This window comes from Homo sapiens, chromosome 21 (assembly GCF_000001405.40).
Source record: "Homo sapiens chromosome 21, GRCh38.p14 Primary Assembly".
Lineage (NCBI taxonomy): Eukaryota > Metazoa > Chordata > Mammalia > Primates > Hominidae > Homo > Homo sapiens.
This window is the reverse complement of record NC_000021.9, coordinates 41949007-41965987: the sequence shown is the minus strand read 5'-3', so window position 1 is coordinate 41965987 and position 16981 is coordinate 41949007. Positions and strand designations below refer to the sequence as shown.

At 52.9% G+C, this 16981-nt stretch overlaps 1 protein-coding gene across 3 annotated transcripts in view, besides 6 other annotated features; it reads left to right on the top strand.

The window, feature by feature from the left end:
• Positions 6145-7112: an enhancer, noted in NCBI's record as "H3K4me1 hESC enhancer chr21:43378985-43379952 (GRCh37/hg19 assembly coordinates)". NCBI's record gives its function as "activates a minimal SCP1, AML or CMV promoter by ChIP-STARR-seq in primed H9 embryonic stem cells {active_cell/tissue: H9 hESC(primed)}" and the evidence as "EXISTENCE:reporter gene assay evidence [ECO:0000049][PMID:30033119]".
• Positions 9789-9868: an enhancer, noted in NCBI's record as "active region_18497". NCBI's record gives its function as "activates an Ori minimal core promoter by ATAC-STARR-seq in GM12878 lymphoblastoid cells {active_cell/tissue: GM12878}" and the evidence as "EXISTENCE:reporter gene assay evidence [ECO:0000049][PMID:35858748]".
• Positions 11678-12347: a silencer, noted in NCBI's record as "silent region_13334". NCBI's record gives its function as "represses an Ori minimal core promoter by ATAC-STARR-seq in GM12878 lymphoblastoid cells {active_cell/tissue: GM12878}" and the evidence as "EXISTENCE:reporter gene assay evidence [ECO:0000049][PMID:35858748]".
• Positions 11678-12998: a biological region, named in NCBI's record as "H3K27ac-H3K4me1 hESC enhancer GRCh37_chr21:43373099-43373873".
• The window catches only part of C2CD2 (C2 calcium dependent domain containing 2), a 68907-nt gene continuing 63895 nt past the window's right edge, over positions 11970-16981 (top strand). For 2 of the 3 annotated variants that reach the window (NM_015500.2, XM_011529522.3), the window contains exon 1: positions 11970-12618. In NM_015500.2, the coding sequence (NP_056315.1) occupies positions 12340-12618 (279 nt within the window). In that variant the 5' untranslated portion in view covers positions 11970-12339. Of the gene's footprint in view, positions 12619-12837; positions 13941-16981 lie in introns of those variants that run through there. The other variant, XM_011529523.3, reaches the window with a different exon arrangement.
• Positions 12224-12998: an enhancer, noted in NCBI's record as "H3K27ac-H3K4me1 hESC enhancer chr21:43373099-43373873 (GRCh37/hg19 assembly coordinates)". NCBI's record gives its function as "activates a minimal SCP1, AML or CMV promoter by ChIP-STARR-seq in naive H9 embryonic stem cells {active_cell/tissue: H9 hESC(naive)}" and the evidence as "EXISTENCE:reporter gene assay evidence [ECO:0000049][PMID:30033119]".
• Positions 14877-15382: an enhancer, noted in NCBI's record as "H3K4me1 hESC enhancer chr21:43370715-43371220 (GRCh37/hg19 assembly coordinates)". NCBI's record gives its function as "activates a minimal SCP1, AML or CMV promoter by ChIP-STARR-seq in naive and primed H9 embryonic stem cells {active_cell/tissue: H9 hESC(naive and primed)}" and the evidence as "EXISTENCE:reporter gene assay evidence [ECO:0000049][PMID:30033119]".

Genomic DNA, 16981 nt, shown 5'->3' with positions numbered 1-16981 from the left:
TTGATAATTCATCCCAAGATTTACTAATTATGTCCCTTCCCAGTGTTTTGTTATGTTCACACCCAGCCATCAGTTTCTAGAGTCTGTTTTGTTGGGGAGCCTCGCCGTTCCATTTCATGGTGCTGCTTTATAACATGTGCCCACAGGGTGGGCGCCTGGCGCTGGCTCAGCACTCGGTCTCTGCCACCCCCACCGTGGAATCCTTTCTTTTCCCTGACTGTTTCTTGCCTTTAGAATTTCTTAGCCCCCTCCATGGTCCTCTCCGTTTCTTTCTTCTTGCATCTCAGACCAACGTGATACTCCCGTGGGCAGGCATCGCTTTATCCTTGCTGGGGTGGCCCCTTCTCACAAGCCTTGCCCCACACACCCACTATGCTGCCTAAGGGAGACCCCTGCATGGCAACCTCTACAGCCCACTCCCACCCACCACCCCCTGAGGGGCCTGGCTCACCATCCCAGGTGAGCCTCCAGGTCACCCACCTCCTCCCCCTACTGTCTCCATCTTGGTCAAATGCAAATATGATTTCATCTCTTCTCTGCCAAGTCAGCCACTCCTTTCTTTTGCTGTAGGAACAAAACCCACAGGCTCATTGCAGTCCTGCCTGAGCCCCCTGCCCACTATCCAGTGGCATTGCAGGGCTTTCCTTGGACTCTTCTTGGTCACTACTCCTAGCTGCACGGCTGCCCTGCCACCCATGCAGTTTACACAGTTACTTGTGGAATAGTCCCTCTGTCTCCTCTGCTGAGTTCAGGTCCCATGAGAATTGATTTAGCTCATCACTAACCCCCAGCACCTAGCCCAGCACCTGACACACGGCAGCTGCTCAACAAATATTTGCCAAATCAGTGAACAAACCACCACACCCGGCCCATAACAAAAGCCACTCATAATATTTGTTAAACTAACCGGTCAAGCTCTGTTTTAAACGGTGGTAAGATACACATAACATTACATGTACCATTACCACCATTTTAAAGTGTATCATTTGATGGTATTCAGCACACTCAAAGGCTGTGCATCCGTCACCCCATCTAGTCCTCCAGAATGTTTTCATCTCCCCCCACAGAAACCCTGTGCACATCAGCAGTCACTCCCTGTCGGCCCACCCCTAGCCCCAGGTAACCACTCACCTGCTTTCTGCCCCGTCACTCACCTATTCTGGGCATTTCATGTAAATGGAATCATGCAATGTGTGGCGTTTGAATCATGCAATGTGTGGCGTTTGAATCATGCAATGTGTGGCGTTTGAATCACGCAACGTGTGGCATTTGTGAGTGGCTTCTTTCACGCAGCATCACGTTTTCAGGGTTCACCGTGTTGTAGCCTGGGTCAGTGCTTCATTCCTTTTTACGGCTGAATAATGTTCCATCACACGGATAGACCGCATTCTGTCTGCTCATTCGTCTGCTGATGGGCTTCTGAGCCTCCCCTCTCAAAAGGCTGGTATGATACTTTGCCTTCTTGCAGCTGGTCCCAGAGCTACAGGAGGAAGGCGGGGATGCCTCCTGGCACAATGGACATTCTCTCTTTTGCCTGCCCCCACTTTCCCTCCTTCATCTCAGGACGGGCTCATTAAACACCAGGGACGGACCGGCAGGAGTAGCAGCTCTGCTACCGTCGGCATGCACCAGGACAACCCCTCCTGTGGCCTCCTGGGACAGCTTCTGCAGGGGACTCTCAGCTATGGCATCAGCAGTGGCCAGCTCTCCCCAACACAGAAGGATACTACCTTGTCTCTGCTTCTCACCAGAAGCTTTGAATCTTATAAACCTGCCGGCAAGAAGCATCTCCATGTTTTCTCTCCATCGTTTGAGGGGGGAGGAGAAGCTCTGGTGAGGAGATGGCTGTCTGGATCACCTCCCTTGGGCCTCACCAGGGAGCCCTCCTGGGGAGATTTAGAGAGGAAGGAAGCATTTTCTGTGTCCACAGTGTCCATAGTACTGGATACTCTCTGTCCAGGAGGACCTCGTGTGCTGTCGCTGACAGATGGAGGGCTGGCCAGGGACTGGAGCAGGCACAGTGCCATGGCGACATGTCGACCCAGTCTCCAAAGGACACATCTGCACACCGGACACACCTCTATCAACAAGAAAACTTTGCTTCAGTTGCTCCTTCAATTCTGCAAAATTTGTTAGATCAGTTTTTTAAAAAGACAAAATAATTTTTAAAAAAGGATCATTTTCTCCCCAAGAGTAGTGGATTATTGCATCTGAACAAATGCTTAGGCACAAACCCTCCAGTCATCTCGGGCCTCCCCATGGAGGCCTGGCTTGCGTGCTTTGACTTCTCCCTGCAGAGCAGCATTGACGAACATTAGCGCACATGGATTTATTATTGGAGCAAATAATGCCAACCAGCCCTTTCTAACACTTGGCTGAGTATGAAATGATTCCCAAAGACATATCTGATGGAACTGATGTCTTAGAAAAATGCTCTCAGGACTGAGGCTTCGCTGCTTTGCAGTCACTTGTCTTCACAGAGGCGTATTCTCAGCTAGTAAAGGGGTCGCCTGTTTGGTGTCCAAGCTGCGGACACACCGCTTCAGTCCCAGCTGAATTTGTAATAAGTGGAGGGTCCTTGATGAGGACTTCGGATTCCTCACCTGCAAAACAGTGATAATAACATCTGTTTCATCCACCTCATAGCATTTTTTTTTTTTTTTGGTTTTGAGACGGAGTCTCGCTCTGTTGCCCAGGCTGGAGTGCAGTGGGGTAAACTCGGCTTACTGCAACCTCTGCCTCCCAGGTTCAAGCGATTCTCCTGCCTCAGCCTCCCGAGTAGCTGAGATTACAGGCATGTGCCACCACGCCTAGCTAATTTTTGTATTTTTAGTAGAGACGGGGTTTCACCATGTTGGCCAGGCTGGTCTCGAACTCATGACCTCGTGATCTGCCCGCCTTGGCATTTTGATGAGGGCTAAAATAAAAATGTGGCAGTATCTAATTTCTTTTTCATCTTTTCAATTCCCTTTAAAGGATCTTTGGTCAATCATTTATTGGACAGCCCAGCGTCCATTGCACTGGCTGAGATTCTGGGTGCTTTAACCCGGTTCCTCGCTATTTCTGCGGACTTGCCCTGGAACCTGCGTTCCTTGGAGCAGCCTAGCCAAGGAGTCTCTGGGCACCGACTAAGGATCTTGCCCCACAGAGGGTCCTCTGCCAGGTTCCCTGAGCGTTCCCACCCTGACATCCCCTGCAGAGGAAGGACCCTTCCTGTTCCCCCAAAATTCACATGTTGACCCTTCATGTTCCCCCAAAATCCACATGTTGAAGTCCTTACCTCCAGTGTGATGGTATTAGGAGATGGAGCCTCTGGGAAGTGACACTGAGGTCATAGGGTTGAGCCCCCGTGAATAGGATTAGTGCCCTTGCAAAAGAGACCCCAGAGAGCTCCCTCCCTCTCTTCGCACCATGTGAAGAAACAACCAGAAGGCGGCAGTCAGCAACCCGTCACCAGAACCTGACCCTTCTGGCACCCTGATCTCAGACTTCCAGCCTGGTGAAAAATAAATGTTGTTTACAAGCCACCCGGGATGTTATTTTGTTCTAGTGGCCTGAACTAAGACACCTTCTTTTTTTAGGAATGTTTGCATGGATTTATGAGGTTGTGCAGCTTCCCTGACTTCACCTTTTAATCCTGGAACATTCTTTCTCCAGTTCCCTTTTGAAGGGCACTGTTCAATGTGTGGGGCTAGCGTCCAGCGGCTCAGCAACAGCCTGTGTTCTGGCCTACAGTTTTCTTTTTCTGTGATTTTCCTTTCTACAGACCCCCTGCTTCTCAGTGACAGAAGGCCACCAAGCCTGCCCTGCTTCAGAACACCAGGGACCCAGCGGGCTTAACCTGGCCACCCTTTTCCTGTTTTTTTTTTTTTTTTCGGGGAGAGACTTGAGACTCCTTTTAAAATCAAGCCCAGCCATGCCTTTTGAAGGCTGCTTTTGTGAGTCTATGCAGCGCCCTGAGATGGGGACAGTCCCCACCCCTTTGCTGGACACAGAGGTACCTGGTTCAAACAACAGTTGTGAGGATCATGAGGACAGCCACGCCTCACCCACCTGCGAGGGAGGCCGTGATGCGCTTCACAGACTGAAAGAGAAGGGCTTGTGAGGCTGTTTTCTCTCCCACTGGGACCCACCAGTGCCCCTCTCCCTGTCACCTGGGGCTTCTACTAGGTCGGTGCAAATGTAATTGTGGTTTTTGCCATAATACTAACAAAAGGAGAGCCCGGAGGAGGAGCTGGGGCTGCTTCCTTCCTGAGAGTCTCTGGCTTCCTCTTCGTTGCCCCTTTAGCCGACTGGACAGGAGAACAAGCTGGGGAAGGGGCTGGACTGGCAGGCAGCATGGATGCCCCGATAGTGGTGACCGCCCACTCTGCAGGGTCCATCCCTCCCTCGGGCCCCATGAGCTGGAGCTGGCAGAGCTTCTGGAAGGTGACTCCGCGGGGAAATGACACACTAAGAGAATATACACAATGACTTCACGTACTATAGTTCAGTCCCAGCTCCCTGCTCTGAGTAGCTAGAGGAGATGATGATCCATCGAAATCGGGGGAAATGACGCATTGCAATAAATCTGTGTCAATGAGCTGCTCTTCTCTAATTCCATGGGGGTGTCGTATAGACTCGCTGCTTGGTGCAACATGGGAGATCACGCAGCAAACACCTGGAGTCCAGGTCTAGCTCCGCCTCTTAACCCTAACCCCAACCACGTTGTTGTTGCCCCTGGCAAGTTGCTCAGCGTCTCTAAGCTTCCACCCCTCATTCCCACGATGGGGGTGATAATTCCTGCCTCTTACTTGTTATAGGATTTCTTACAAAGTACTAGGCAAACAGAAGCATGAGTATTTCCTGGAGCAGGAAAATTATTCCCTTCGTCTTTATTGCACTATTTGGGGTAACCACTGGAATATATAATAATTATTTGTAATTAGTACTTAGTTATGTGTAGATAAATGCATGCTCCTGGATTGTTTTTAAAAGCCCTTTAATGGGATTTCCTTTAACTCTTAAAGAGACTAAATATCCCTCCAGATATTTAGTTGGTTCTACTCACTGTGCTCAATAAAAACAATAGTAGAAAGGAAAACTGTAGCCCAGAAGACAGGCAAAGCACTAATTACAAGAAATGTGCCTTGTCCTGCAGGGAATAAGGGCAGCTTTCCTGTGTCCTGTGTTGGGTAAGGGGAGACCCCTCTGACTTGCGGGGCTTGGCTCTTTTCTAGTGGAGCCGCCTATAGATCAAGTGTTATTCCAGAGTCAGTGCTGGGAACGGCCATATCACTGGAGCTGCAGAAGCAGATCCCGCAGGTTCTGAGAAGCTAGGAGCAACTCTAGTCCTGCAGCCTAGGGGCTGTCCCCAGCGAGCAAGGCGAGCAAGGCCCCGCTGTGGCCACCCCTAGCTGGAGGCTGTGCATGGCATTCATTGAGAGTCTCAGCATGGGGAGGGGTCATCTCATTCCAGCGAAGTCATCTCTCTCTTCCTCCGTGCACCCTCTCTCCAGACTCCTGCTGCCACCTGACACATCCTTACAAACTCAACTTCTACATGATGAACACATCTTTTTTTATTTTTTTCAAGACAAGGTCTTTGCTCTGTTGCCCAGGCTGGAGTGCAGTGGTGCAAACATGGTTTACTGCAGCCTCAACCTCTTGGGCTCAAATGATCCTCCTGCCTCAGCCTCCTATGTAGCTGGGACCGCAGGCATAAGCCACCACGCCTGGCTAATTTTTATTTTTATTTTTTTAATAGAGAAGGAGTCTCACTTTGTTACCCAGGCTGGTCTTGAATGCCTGAGCTCAAGCTATCCTCCTGCCTCGGCCTCCTTCCAAAGTGCTGGGATTACAGGGGCCCGGCCCAGGAACACATCATGAGGTCAATTCCTCTAGGTCAATTCCTGCAACAGTGTGATTTTGGTTATCAGTGCATAGGTGTGGGACCAGCATTCTTTGGAGTTGGAGAAAATAGACAATTTATGCAACGGCCTCCTTGGAAATATATTTAAAAATTGGGGGCGGAGGCCGGGCACGGTGGCTCACACCTGTAATGCCAGCACCTTGGGAGGCCGAGGTGAGCAGACCACAAGGTCAGGAGATCGAGACCATCCTGGCCAACATGGTGAAACCCCATCTCTACTAAAATACAAAAAATTAGCTGGGCGTGGTGGGGGGTGCCTGTAGTTGCAGCTACTCAGGAGGCTGAGGCAGGGGAATCGCTTGAACTTGGGAGGTGGAGATTGCAGTGAGCCGAGATTGCACCACTGCATTCTGGCCTGGCGACAGAGTGAGACTCCGTCTCAAGAAAAAAAAAAAAATGGGGGATGGAGGATCACTTGAGCCCAGGAGTTCAAGACCAGCCTGGGCAACACAGTGAGACCCCGCCTCTACAAAAAAAGAATCGAAGTTAAATATTTTCATTCATAAAATTGGTCCCAGCCTTGGGTACAGGCAAAAATGTCAAGTCACCTTGCTCCTGGGCATTCCCAAGGGAGGCTTAACCAAGCCACCTGGCAGAGGCAGGGCAGCCATCTGGGCCACATTCCTTCGTCTGCCCGGCATGGGCACAGACTCGCAGGATGCATCATCGGGGTTGCCCGGGGCAGACTCTTGGCAGGCCTGGCTGGCCTGCAGCAGGCTGGCAGGCCCTGCCTCTGACGCTGCCCGGCCGCCTCCCAGCATCATGGCGTGACTCAGGGTCCCTGAGGAGCCGCCACCAGGGTGGGATTTGAAGGAGCAGCGTATCTGCTGTTCACTGTTAGGGTGGGTGGTGGACACCCTGGGAGGCTCTCCTAGGTGGGCGCCTGTGCAGAGACACTGATCACGGCAAATGCTAGGGCTGGATTCATCTCTCGTCTTTCCCAGAAAGGACTTGGGACTTCACAGAAGCTCCGGGAGTGAACTTCCCCTCTGGGTTTGAGAGGCCATGTCTCCTGGACTTCAGAACACAAAAGACAATTCTTCAGGCAGATCTTTGCACATGAATGTTAGCAATGGGGCCTCTATTTCCAGCTTTTAACATTTTTCTCTTTTTGGAGAATTTGTTTGCCTTGACCTTTATGAAAGGAGATGGAGAGAACACGGCCCCTGGGGTCAAACCCTGCCTCAGCCACTTTCTTGCTGGGTGGCCTTGGATAGTTACTGAGCTTCTCTGAACTCAGTTTCCTTATTTTTAAAATGGGGCGATGCTCTCGTTTGCGTGTTGCTGTGAAAATGAAGCGAGTCCATGAAGTTGAGTACCCAGGTGGTATCTGATGGTGGGAAATGCTCGGTACACACAGCCATGACTTTCTGAACGCCCGTAAGGTGACTTAGGGTGCCTGGTGCATCTGTGGGGACCCGGGAGGGAGCAAGAGGGTGGCAGGGGCTCAGCCGATGGCACTACCATTTCCATCAGTCGGTCCTGGGAGGGACGGCAGACGTGCAGTCTGGTCTTCACTCTCAGAGACTGTTCACGCGGCATCTGAGGCTCACCTGGGGAGTTAGTGCAGTTACTCAGCATTGCTGCTTTCCTCCTGGGGAAGGCATCATGAACAGCATCTCCATAAGTCATGCAAATGATTACTAGAAGAACTCACGGCCCCTCTTCGGGGGGAAAGCCCTGTCTGGCGCCGGGCCAGGCTCTGGCCACGGGTGACCTTTGGTTGGGTCCGCCGGCTCCGGTATTGACCCTGTGAGCAGTACAGGAAATAGACTCGAAGCACATTCCAGCCTCCAGGTGGTGGAAATGACTAAGCCAGTGAGATGGAGCCAAGGAGATTGGGTCAAATGTCTCCACAGCCTCTCTGGTCTCCAGAAATCTCGCTTCCCACAGCAGCTGCCGAGGGCACTGAGCCAAGTGCTAAAAGCATTTTGCTAAGAGGGAATTCTCGAAACGTCTGCCCCCAAGTGCTGCTGGGGGGAAGCTGTGTATTTCCACTTGCTAGAGGTCCCTGGTAGGGCCTGTGAAGTGACCATCACAGCTCCCCGGGGCCCCCAAGGTGCTGGTCTCACAATATTGGGGCACAACTTGATAATTCAAGCAATACTAATAATGTGAACTGCTTCAGGGTGAAGGGGAAACTTTTCACTCAGAGACAAACTATAAACATTTTGGACGCTCTTCTTTTCCCTGCTTCTAGAAATTTAAGAATGACATTGAAAACTTAACAAAAGTCCCACATTTTTCTAAAAGAATTTTTTAAAACCCAAAAGTATAACAAAGTATAACTGTTTATAGACGTGCGATACATGACATACATGACACTAGACATATCTATTAATTTCTAAAAATGTCACAGCATCCCAGAACCTCCTGGGCTTGGGAGAGGAAGACGTTCAAAGACTTACAGCTTTGAGGCAGGGATGAGGCACTGCACCCAAGACTGGGTGACTCAGCAGAGATCATCCAACAGACAATTCTCATCTCCACCACCAGCATTTAGAAATGTTTTAAAGTGAAAAATAGAACAGTGGCTCTTGACTGTGGCCTCAAACCCAGCTACTGTAAAGCATTATGAAGAATTTAGACACTTGGCTTCCTCCTTCCCGCCTGGAGGCCTGCCATGCTAGCGAAGGCAGCCCTGGTTCAAGGTTTCTGGTGGACCCAGCAGATGGATGGGAAGCGGGCTTAGCTTGACCTAAACAGCTGGGAGCTGGGAGCTCAAGGTGAGCATGCAGGAGGGGCCACAGCCACAGTGCTTTCCCTTTATGAGCAGCTAAAAATAGCAAACAACCACTGCAGAGTGACAGAGACCCATTTGAAGGTTTTGGTGGAGACAGAAGCCCTCCCCGGGCAGAGCTGCAGTCTCACTCCTTGGGTGGAAGGGAGATGTGGTGGAGAGAGAGGTGCCGGGAGCAGGAAATGTCACTGGGGGTGAGGCAGAATCCTGTGCTCTGGGAGAACCCAGCCCTCCAGTGTCTTCTGCAGTGGGAGAAGGGGACTGGGAGTTGGTGGATGTGTAGGGCTGGGAGCTTGTGTAAAGGGAGCCTGCTCTTTTTCATAGATTTATAAGATGTTTCTGTTCCGATTTCGTGTTTTGGCCAACTGCATTGTCCTGCAAGCCTGCATCATTCCTTATTTTCCCTCGATTTGCTTCTACACGTAAGTAATCCAATATCTACATGTTGACATTATCTTTGAAAACACTTAACGGGGCTAGGCACAGTGGCTCACACCTGTAATCCCAGCACTTTGGGAGGCTGAGGTGGGCAGATCACCTGAGGTCAGGAGTTCAAGACCAGCCTAGCCAACATGGTGAAACCCCGTCTCCACTAAAAATACAAAAATTAGCTGGCGTGGTGGCAGGCGCCTGTAGTCCCAGTTACTCGGGAGGCTGAGGCAGGAGAATTGCTTGAACCTGGAAGGCGGAGGTTGCAGTGAGCCGAGATTGTGCCACTGCACTCCAGTCTAGGTGACAAAGTGAGACTCTGCCTCAAAATACAGAAAGAAATTAAAGAAAGAAAGAAAAGAAAATTTGTCACATGGAAGTGTGACAAATCCCAAACTAGGGGTGCTGGTTAGTTTACAGTTTGTTACAAGCCTCTAAATAAGTAAGTGGGATGGGCCAGCACACCTGAGACCTGAAGGAATGAGACGGGTTCCACCGGTCACACAGGACAGGCTCTCGTCACTGCCCACACAGCCGCAGGCGGCCTGTGTGCACACATGGCACGGGGAACACTGGGCCCTCGGATTCCTCACCCCGGTTATTCTGGCAAGGGGACCAGCAGGACTCGAATTATCTGACTGCATAGGTCTAGCTACAGGTCAGAACATAATTAGACTTTTCTGCCAAATAAGAAGGGATTTCTTTTGTTTCTGCCTAAAATAACACAGAATAGAAGAAAAGAAGAGCAGTTCCCCCCACCCTTAAGAGGCTGCGGCAGACTGGAGCGCTCGTGTGTAACACATGGGTCACTTGCAGGATGCTGATGGTCTCATTCTTAATTTTTTTTTTTTTTTTTGAGACGGAGTCTCGCTCTGTCGCCCAGGCTGGAGTGCAGTGGCGCGATCTCGGCTCACTGCAAGCTCCGCCTCCCGGGTTCACTCCATTTTCCTGCCTCAGCCTCCCGAGTAGCTGGGACTATAGGCGACCGCCATCACGCCCGGCTGAGTTTTGTGTGTGTGTGTGTTTTTAATAGAGACGGGGTTTCACCATGTTAGCCAGGATGGATAGTCTCATTCTTATTTCCACTTTCTGATAACAGACCTGGCTCGCAAGGGTCCATCCCCAGCTCACCTGGGCAATCCCCGTCTAATTTCACCTCCCTGACAGCGTCCTATCCTGTTCCCCACAAAGGCTCTCCGTCCAGCTGCTGTGCCATTCCTTCCTCTTTCCTGAAGAAAATCCGGGCCCACGGATTCAGGGCCAGAATCCCCTCTGATGGACCATCCACTGGCCCCGCAGCAGACTCCTGGCTAGGGAAGAGAAGGCCAAATGCTCAGTCTATCTAATTCCTTTCAAGGTCAAGTCCCCTTAATACAGCTGCAGAAAATAACAGGGGAATCACTTTTTTATGGTTTAGGCCTGTTTTAGGCCCCGGAGAATCTCAGGCTAGTATGTTTCTATGGCACTCCCTAAGGACCGCGTCCACTCTGCAAGAGGAGGGCACAGGGGCATGTCCCACACACCACACCACACACACACACACCATACCACATGCACCACACTGACACACCACCCACACACCACGCCACATGCACCGCACTCACACATTACACATACACACACTCCACATCCATGTACCACACATACACACACCACCGTGTTCACCACACACACAAACCACACCACATGCAACGCACTTACACAATACATATACACACAGCACCACACCACACCCATGTGCCACACACACACGCTCACATCACCCTGTGCACCACACACACACGCACCACACTGACACACCACATACATACACCACACCACATCACACATACACACCACACACACCACATGCACCACACACACACACCACATGCTGTGCACTTACACATCACACGTACACACACCCATGCACCACACCGACACCACACACGCACCACACCACATGCACCACGCTTACACATCACACACACACACCACACACACACACCACACACACTGCACTTATACATCACACATACACACCCATGCACCACCATACACACTCGCACCATCCTGTGCACCACACACCACACACATACACCACATGCTGTGCACTTACACATCACACGTACACACACCCATGCACCACACCGACACACCACACACGCACCACACCACATGCACCACGCTTACACATCACACACACCACATGCACCACACTGGCACGCAACACACATACCACACCACATGCACCACGCTTACACACACACCACACCCATGCACCACACATACACACTCACACCATCCTGTGCACCACACACCACACCCACAACACATCACACCACATGCGCCACACACATCACACCACATGCACCCCCGCCCCACCCGCACACTGAATGAATGACACAGCCACACAGAAGGCAGGGCCTGGGCCTGGTGCTGAGCCCCTCCTTGCCTCTGAGAAGCACGCCCCCTAAGGCAGGCCCAGCCCCTGGCTCCAGGGGCAGCCACGGATTTCCAGGGACTTTCCGAGGACTGAGCCTGGATCCTGTCTCGCTGGCGAGCAAATGGCAGTCCTCGAAATCACCCTGACTGCGCGCTGTGCACACGCACACTCACACATGTGCACACACACGCACTTGTGCAAGCGCGCACACGAGCCAAGCCAAGCAGCCGCACAGCAGCCGCCGGGGTTGGGCTGATGAATCCGGAGGCCCGGGTCACCTCGCGGCCCGCGGGCAGGCGCCGGAGGGGCGGGCGACGCGCGCACGTGGCGGGGCCGGGAAGGCCGGGCCTTTAGGGGGGCGGGGGCACGCCGCGTTGGGAGCAGGGGGGAGGACTGCGGCCCCCGCAGGCCCGGCCGCGCCCCCTCCCTCGGGCACCGCCCCCGCCCCGCCCCGCCCCGCGGCCAGAGCCTCCTCCGGCCACCGCTGGGCCGCGGGCGGGACGCCCGGGGCGGCGCGCGCAGGAGGAAGCGCGGCCCGCAGCGGCCCAGGAACTTCCCAGACGCCGAGTCGGGAGCGCGGGCCGCGGGGTCCGCTCGCGCCCCTGTTCCGCAGGTGTGCGGGGCTTGCGCCCAGCCCGGGCCGCGGCCGCCGCGCGTTTCCTCCCCGCTTGCCCGCCCAGAGGCCCCCGGCCACGCTCCTCGCCGGGCTCCGACCCCGCCGCGCCCCCTCCACGCCCCCAGCGCGCTGTGGCCGCAGCCAGCGCGTGTCCTGAGTCCGCCGTTCCGGCCCGGGGCTGCCGGGGAAGTTGGGGCGAGGCGGGCCGGGGATGCGCCATGGCCATGGCCCGGCTGGGCTCGTGGCTCGGGGAGGCGCAGTGGCTCGCGCTGGTGTCGCTCTTCGTCGCGGCCCTGGCCACGGTAGGCCTGTACCTGGCGCAGTGGGCGCTGGCCAGGGCGCGACCCCAGCCCCAGCGGCGGGCGGTGGAGCCTGGAGAGGGGCCGCGCCCGGGGTCCGACGCGCTGCTCTCCTGGATCCTGACGCTGGGCAGCTGGAGGAGCCAGTGGCAGGCGGCCTGGGTGACCGCCCTGAACGAGGAGGCCGAGAGGAAAGGGGTGAGTTTCCGGGACTGCGGGCCGGGGGGCGGCAGATGCCGGGGCGGGCGGTCCGGGCCGAGGTCTTTCCTGGAGGCGTCGCTGCAGCCCCTGACCCAGGCTAAGGGAGTCCTCCCCCCAGCGCAGACCATCCTCGAGAGTTAGGAGAGAGACGGGGGAGCGAGGCCCCTTGACGGAGAGACAAGACAAAGTGATTGATTTTATTCTCCAAACGGCAGGTGCTCCAGGCCCTGGGCTCCGCGAGGGACAGGCTGGCAGTTGGAGGGACCGTCAGAAGTGCTCATCCGCGCCAGCCAGTACCTGCCTTGCCTGGAGTCCCGGGGCGAATTCCCGTGCCCGATCGGACACTTACTGAGCTTGCACATGATACATGAATAGCTGTGACCCCAATGTGCTTCCGCCTCTCATAGAGCTGAATTTCACCAAGAATTTATCTCCAAAGACTTGCATTTCTTGGCATATAAAAATAGTGACCGTTTGCTGAGGGCCAGCCGCTGGGCAGACATCCTACCGAGGCTTTCGGTGCGTCTGCCATCTCTGAATCCTCACAACTCCCGGGACAGGGGTGTTATCACTGTTTTACAGATGAGGAAACCAAGGCCCGGAGAGGGCAAGCAGCCTGCCCAGTGCCACACAGCTCGTGGGCGGCAGAGCTGGCATGTGAATCCAGCTGCCCTGGCCTGCAAGCTAAGGGCCTCGTGTCTTACCTCTGCTGCCTCACAGTCCTGTGGGTGTTTCTGTAGTCGCTGATTACTCGTTGACTTATTTTTGCTTTTAAGACATCTTAGTATAACGACAAGCTCCTGGCATGTACTATTCTTAGGCATTTCACAGGAGAAGTTGGAGCCTGGGTGGGTTTGGGGAGGCACCCCTAGTCTTGGCCGCTGCTCCGCCCTTCCAGGCCACAGTTTCCTGCACATGCCTGTGCAGCTCAGTGGTCATTCGCTGTGGAAATAGCAGAATTGCTCATTTTCAATGTCCGGCCCCATCAACCTTCAAAATATTCCATGGCGGGCCCTGTGCCTGGTCCTTGTGCATGGCCTTGGAAGACATGGCCATGGAATTAAAAAACAAAAAAGCTTTGACTATCAGTTAGCAGCCATCCAACAAATCAAGAGACCTTGTTTTGAACTCTTGAAAAAGAACATAAATGACTGTACTTTTTGGAGGAAAAAGGCTTCAGGGTCAGTTGACTGACTTTTGTCCTGGTGCCCAGAATCTGTGCCTCAGCTGTCCAGAGCTGGAGAGTGTCTCAGGGAAACCAGCTGTCTCTTGTGGGAGCCCTCCACCCCTGTTGGCCTCACATCCAGGAGCAAATGCAGGTATTTCCCCAGGAAGCTGCCATCACTGACCCCTGACTGACCTGGAATCAAGGCTTCTGAGGCTGAGTCCCCTCCAGGCTGGTGGCTTGATTGGGCACCAGTCTCATCTGTGTCCTTTGTAGGAGGCAGGCAAGTGTTGGGTGAATGACCTTTAAGTTCAGCTTCTAACTCTGGAGTTTCAGGCTTAGAGGCAGTGACCCTACCTCCTGTATATTTGGGATGGTTCGTTTCCTGACATCTATGGATTGGCTTCAGAAAATATGATCCTCTTGGATATGATCCTTCCATATTCCCATCTGACTGAAGTGTTGAGAGGCAGAGAAGAGGATGTCCCTGGCATCTGTCTTAGGCTGGTCAAGTCAATCTGAGAACACTGAAAGAAATATTTGAAAGTTTTGGATGAAAACTTTTTACTTGAGTCTTTGTGTGGGAGCAGGGAGGGGTTGCGTTCAGGGAGAGGAGAGAGGGTCTCACCTTGTTTGCGCCTTCTCTGTTCTCTCTCTGCTGTTGGCCACACACTGCAGTCTCAGACACCTGTCTCTCCTGACCTCCTGCCTGGAAGAGGCAACAGTGTCCCGGATTCATGCTCAAAGCAACCCAGGGCCATCTCTGGCATTTTTGCATGGACATAGTCCATTAGTTCTGTGATGTCAGTTTTTGGTATTGCTTACTTTCCTGGGGACGGGGGTGGGGGAACACAGCCCTGATGCCTGGGAATGTCATTTGATTTGCATTCAAATGGAAGGTTTTGCAGGCAGATAGGATCTGGGTGACTGGGCTCCCTGTGAGTGACGGTCACACACCCTCCCGGCATCCTGAGCCGTCGCTGCCGTGTCAGTGATGGCATTGTGGGTGAGCAGGTAGTGGTGTTTGCATTCCTGGCCGCCCCGAGTCCAGCGATTGTCACACACATCCCAGCATCCTGGGCCATCGCTGTTGTGACAGTGATGGCGGTGTGGGAGAGCAGGGGCTGCTGTGTCCATTCGTGGCTGCCCTCCCCCACCTCCATTCCCACTAATCCCGGATTAGGGCTGACACTCCAAGCCCGCTCTCGCCTGGACAGCTACAGCTTAGTGCTCCCCCTCCTGCCTCTGCCTTGTCCTGATATCACTCTGTCCTACCCAGGGAGGAGACCAGTTCTTGGCCTGTCGCTTAGGGATTGAGAAGACACTGGTAATAACTTAATCATGTCCAGCATTCTGTCTGAAAAGTGGAATTTTCTGTCCAATTGAGACAATAACTCCTCCCATTCCAAGTTTTACCCCACCTTTGTATTTTAAGATGGAAAGAAACCCTAAACTCTTCTAGCCAAGCCCCTTCTCCAGAAGGGGAGACTGAGGCCCGTGAACTGGAGGAATTTGCCAAGGTCTGCGCATTGGTGGCTGCAGCCTGTTCCCTGGTGGGATGCAGTATCAACTTGGAGACCTAAATGTTTCCTTTAAATGAGAGCCAGCGAGAAGAGCTCAGAGAGTAGAGTTGTTAATGTGTTATCCCAAACAGTGGGGCTCGCACCTTCCAGGATCCAAGGACTGGTCAGCACCGGAGGAGTCCTCCTGCTCTCTGATGACCACTGCAGCAGCACTGACTCCCCGTATTGCAGGGGACCTCGGATTCCCACCCTCACTCCAGAAAGGGGTCTAAATTATATGTGACAGTGATTTGCACTGACTTTGGAGGAAACCATTGCTGATCTGCCTGCTGGCCAGGTGGACGCCAGGTGTGCAGGGATCACAGGAGTCTTGCCCAGAGAGCTTAGTGACACACGTGCCTGCCCCCCACATCCGCCTCAGTAGGCTTGGGGAGCACACTTTGAGAGTGTCCCATGGTTGAGAATCACTGGTGAGAAGCTGCTAGTACACACTTGCCATCCATCAGAGTTCCTCTTTCTTTTTTTTCCTTTTTTTTTTTATTATGATACTTTAAGTTCTAGGGTACATGTGCACAACGTGCAGGTTGTTACATAGGTATACGTGTGCCATGTTGGTTTGCTGCACCCATCAACTTGTCATTTACATTAGGTATTTGTCCTAGTGCTATCCCTTCCCCAGCCGCCCAGTCCCTGACAGGCCCTGGTGTGTGATGTTGCCCGCCCTGTGTCCATGTGTTCTCATTGTTCAACTCCCACCTATGAGTGAGAACATGCGGTGTTTGGTTTTCTGTCCTTGTGATACTTTGCTTAGAGTGATAGTTTTCAGCTTCATCCATGTCCCTGCAAAGGACATGAACTCATCCTTTTTTATGGCTGCATAGTATTCCATGGTGTATATGTGCCACATTTTCTTAATCCAGTCTATCATTGATGGGCATTTGGGTTGGTTCCAAGTCTTTGCTATTGGGAATAATGCTGCAATAAACATGTGTGCATGTGTCTTTATAGTAGCATGATTTATAATCCTTTGGATATATACCCAGTAATGGGATCGCTGGGTCAAATGGTATTTGTAGTTCTAGATCCTTGAGGAATCGTCACACTGTCTTCCACAATGGTTGAACTAATTTACACTCCCACCAACAGTGTAAATAGAGTTCCTCTTTCACCCAGCACCACGTAAAAGCAATTGTTTGAGCTTTGACTCTTGCCTCTCCACTTGGTGTGGTGTTGCAGACCCCTAATTCCCATTGATGTGATCACTCTTTGGTCACACAGAACAGAAGATCCCAGAACTGGCTCAGTCTCAGGTCAGGCTCCTTAGACTGAGAACTAATATTATGGTATCCAAAAGCAGCAGTTGAGCTTTTCCTTTTGCTCCCCTGCGATTACATCAATATTTACAAAGTGGTCCATGATAATCAGTTACACCCCCAACATCCCCTTGGGAGTCTCCGGGACTGCTGTCCTACAGTCTCCTCGACTCTGGGATCCAGCATGCTTGCCTCTGATGGCCGCTGCCCGTGGGCTGCCCAGAACTCCTCCCAAGGCTGATGCTGTCTGGACCATGTGTGGGCAGCACCTGTCCCGAAGCGAGGCCTGTGTTCCGTGGCCTGTGCTCTGGGCTTGTCTGGTAGCGGCCCACCTGAGTGGGATGAGGCCCCGGACTAGG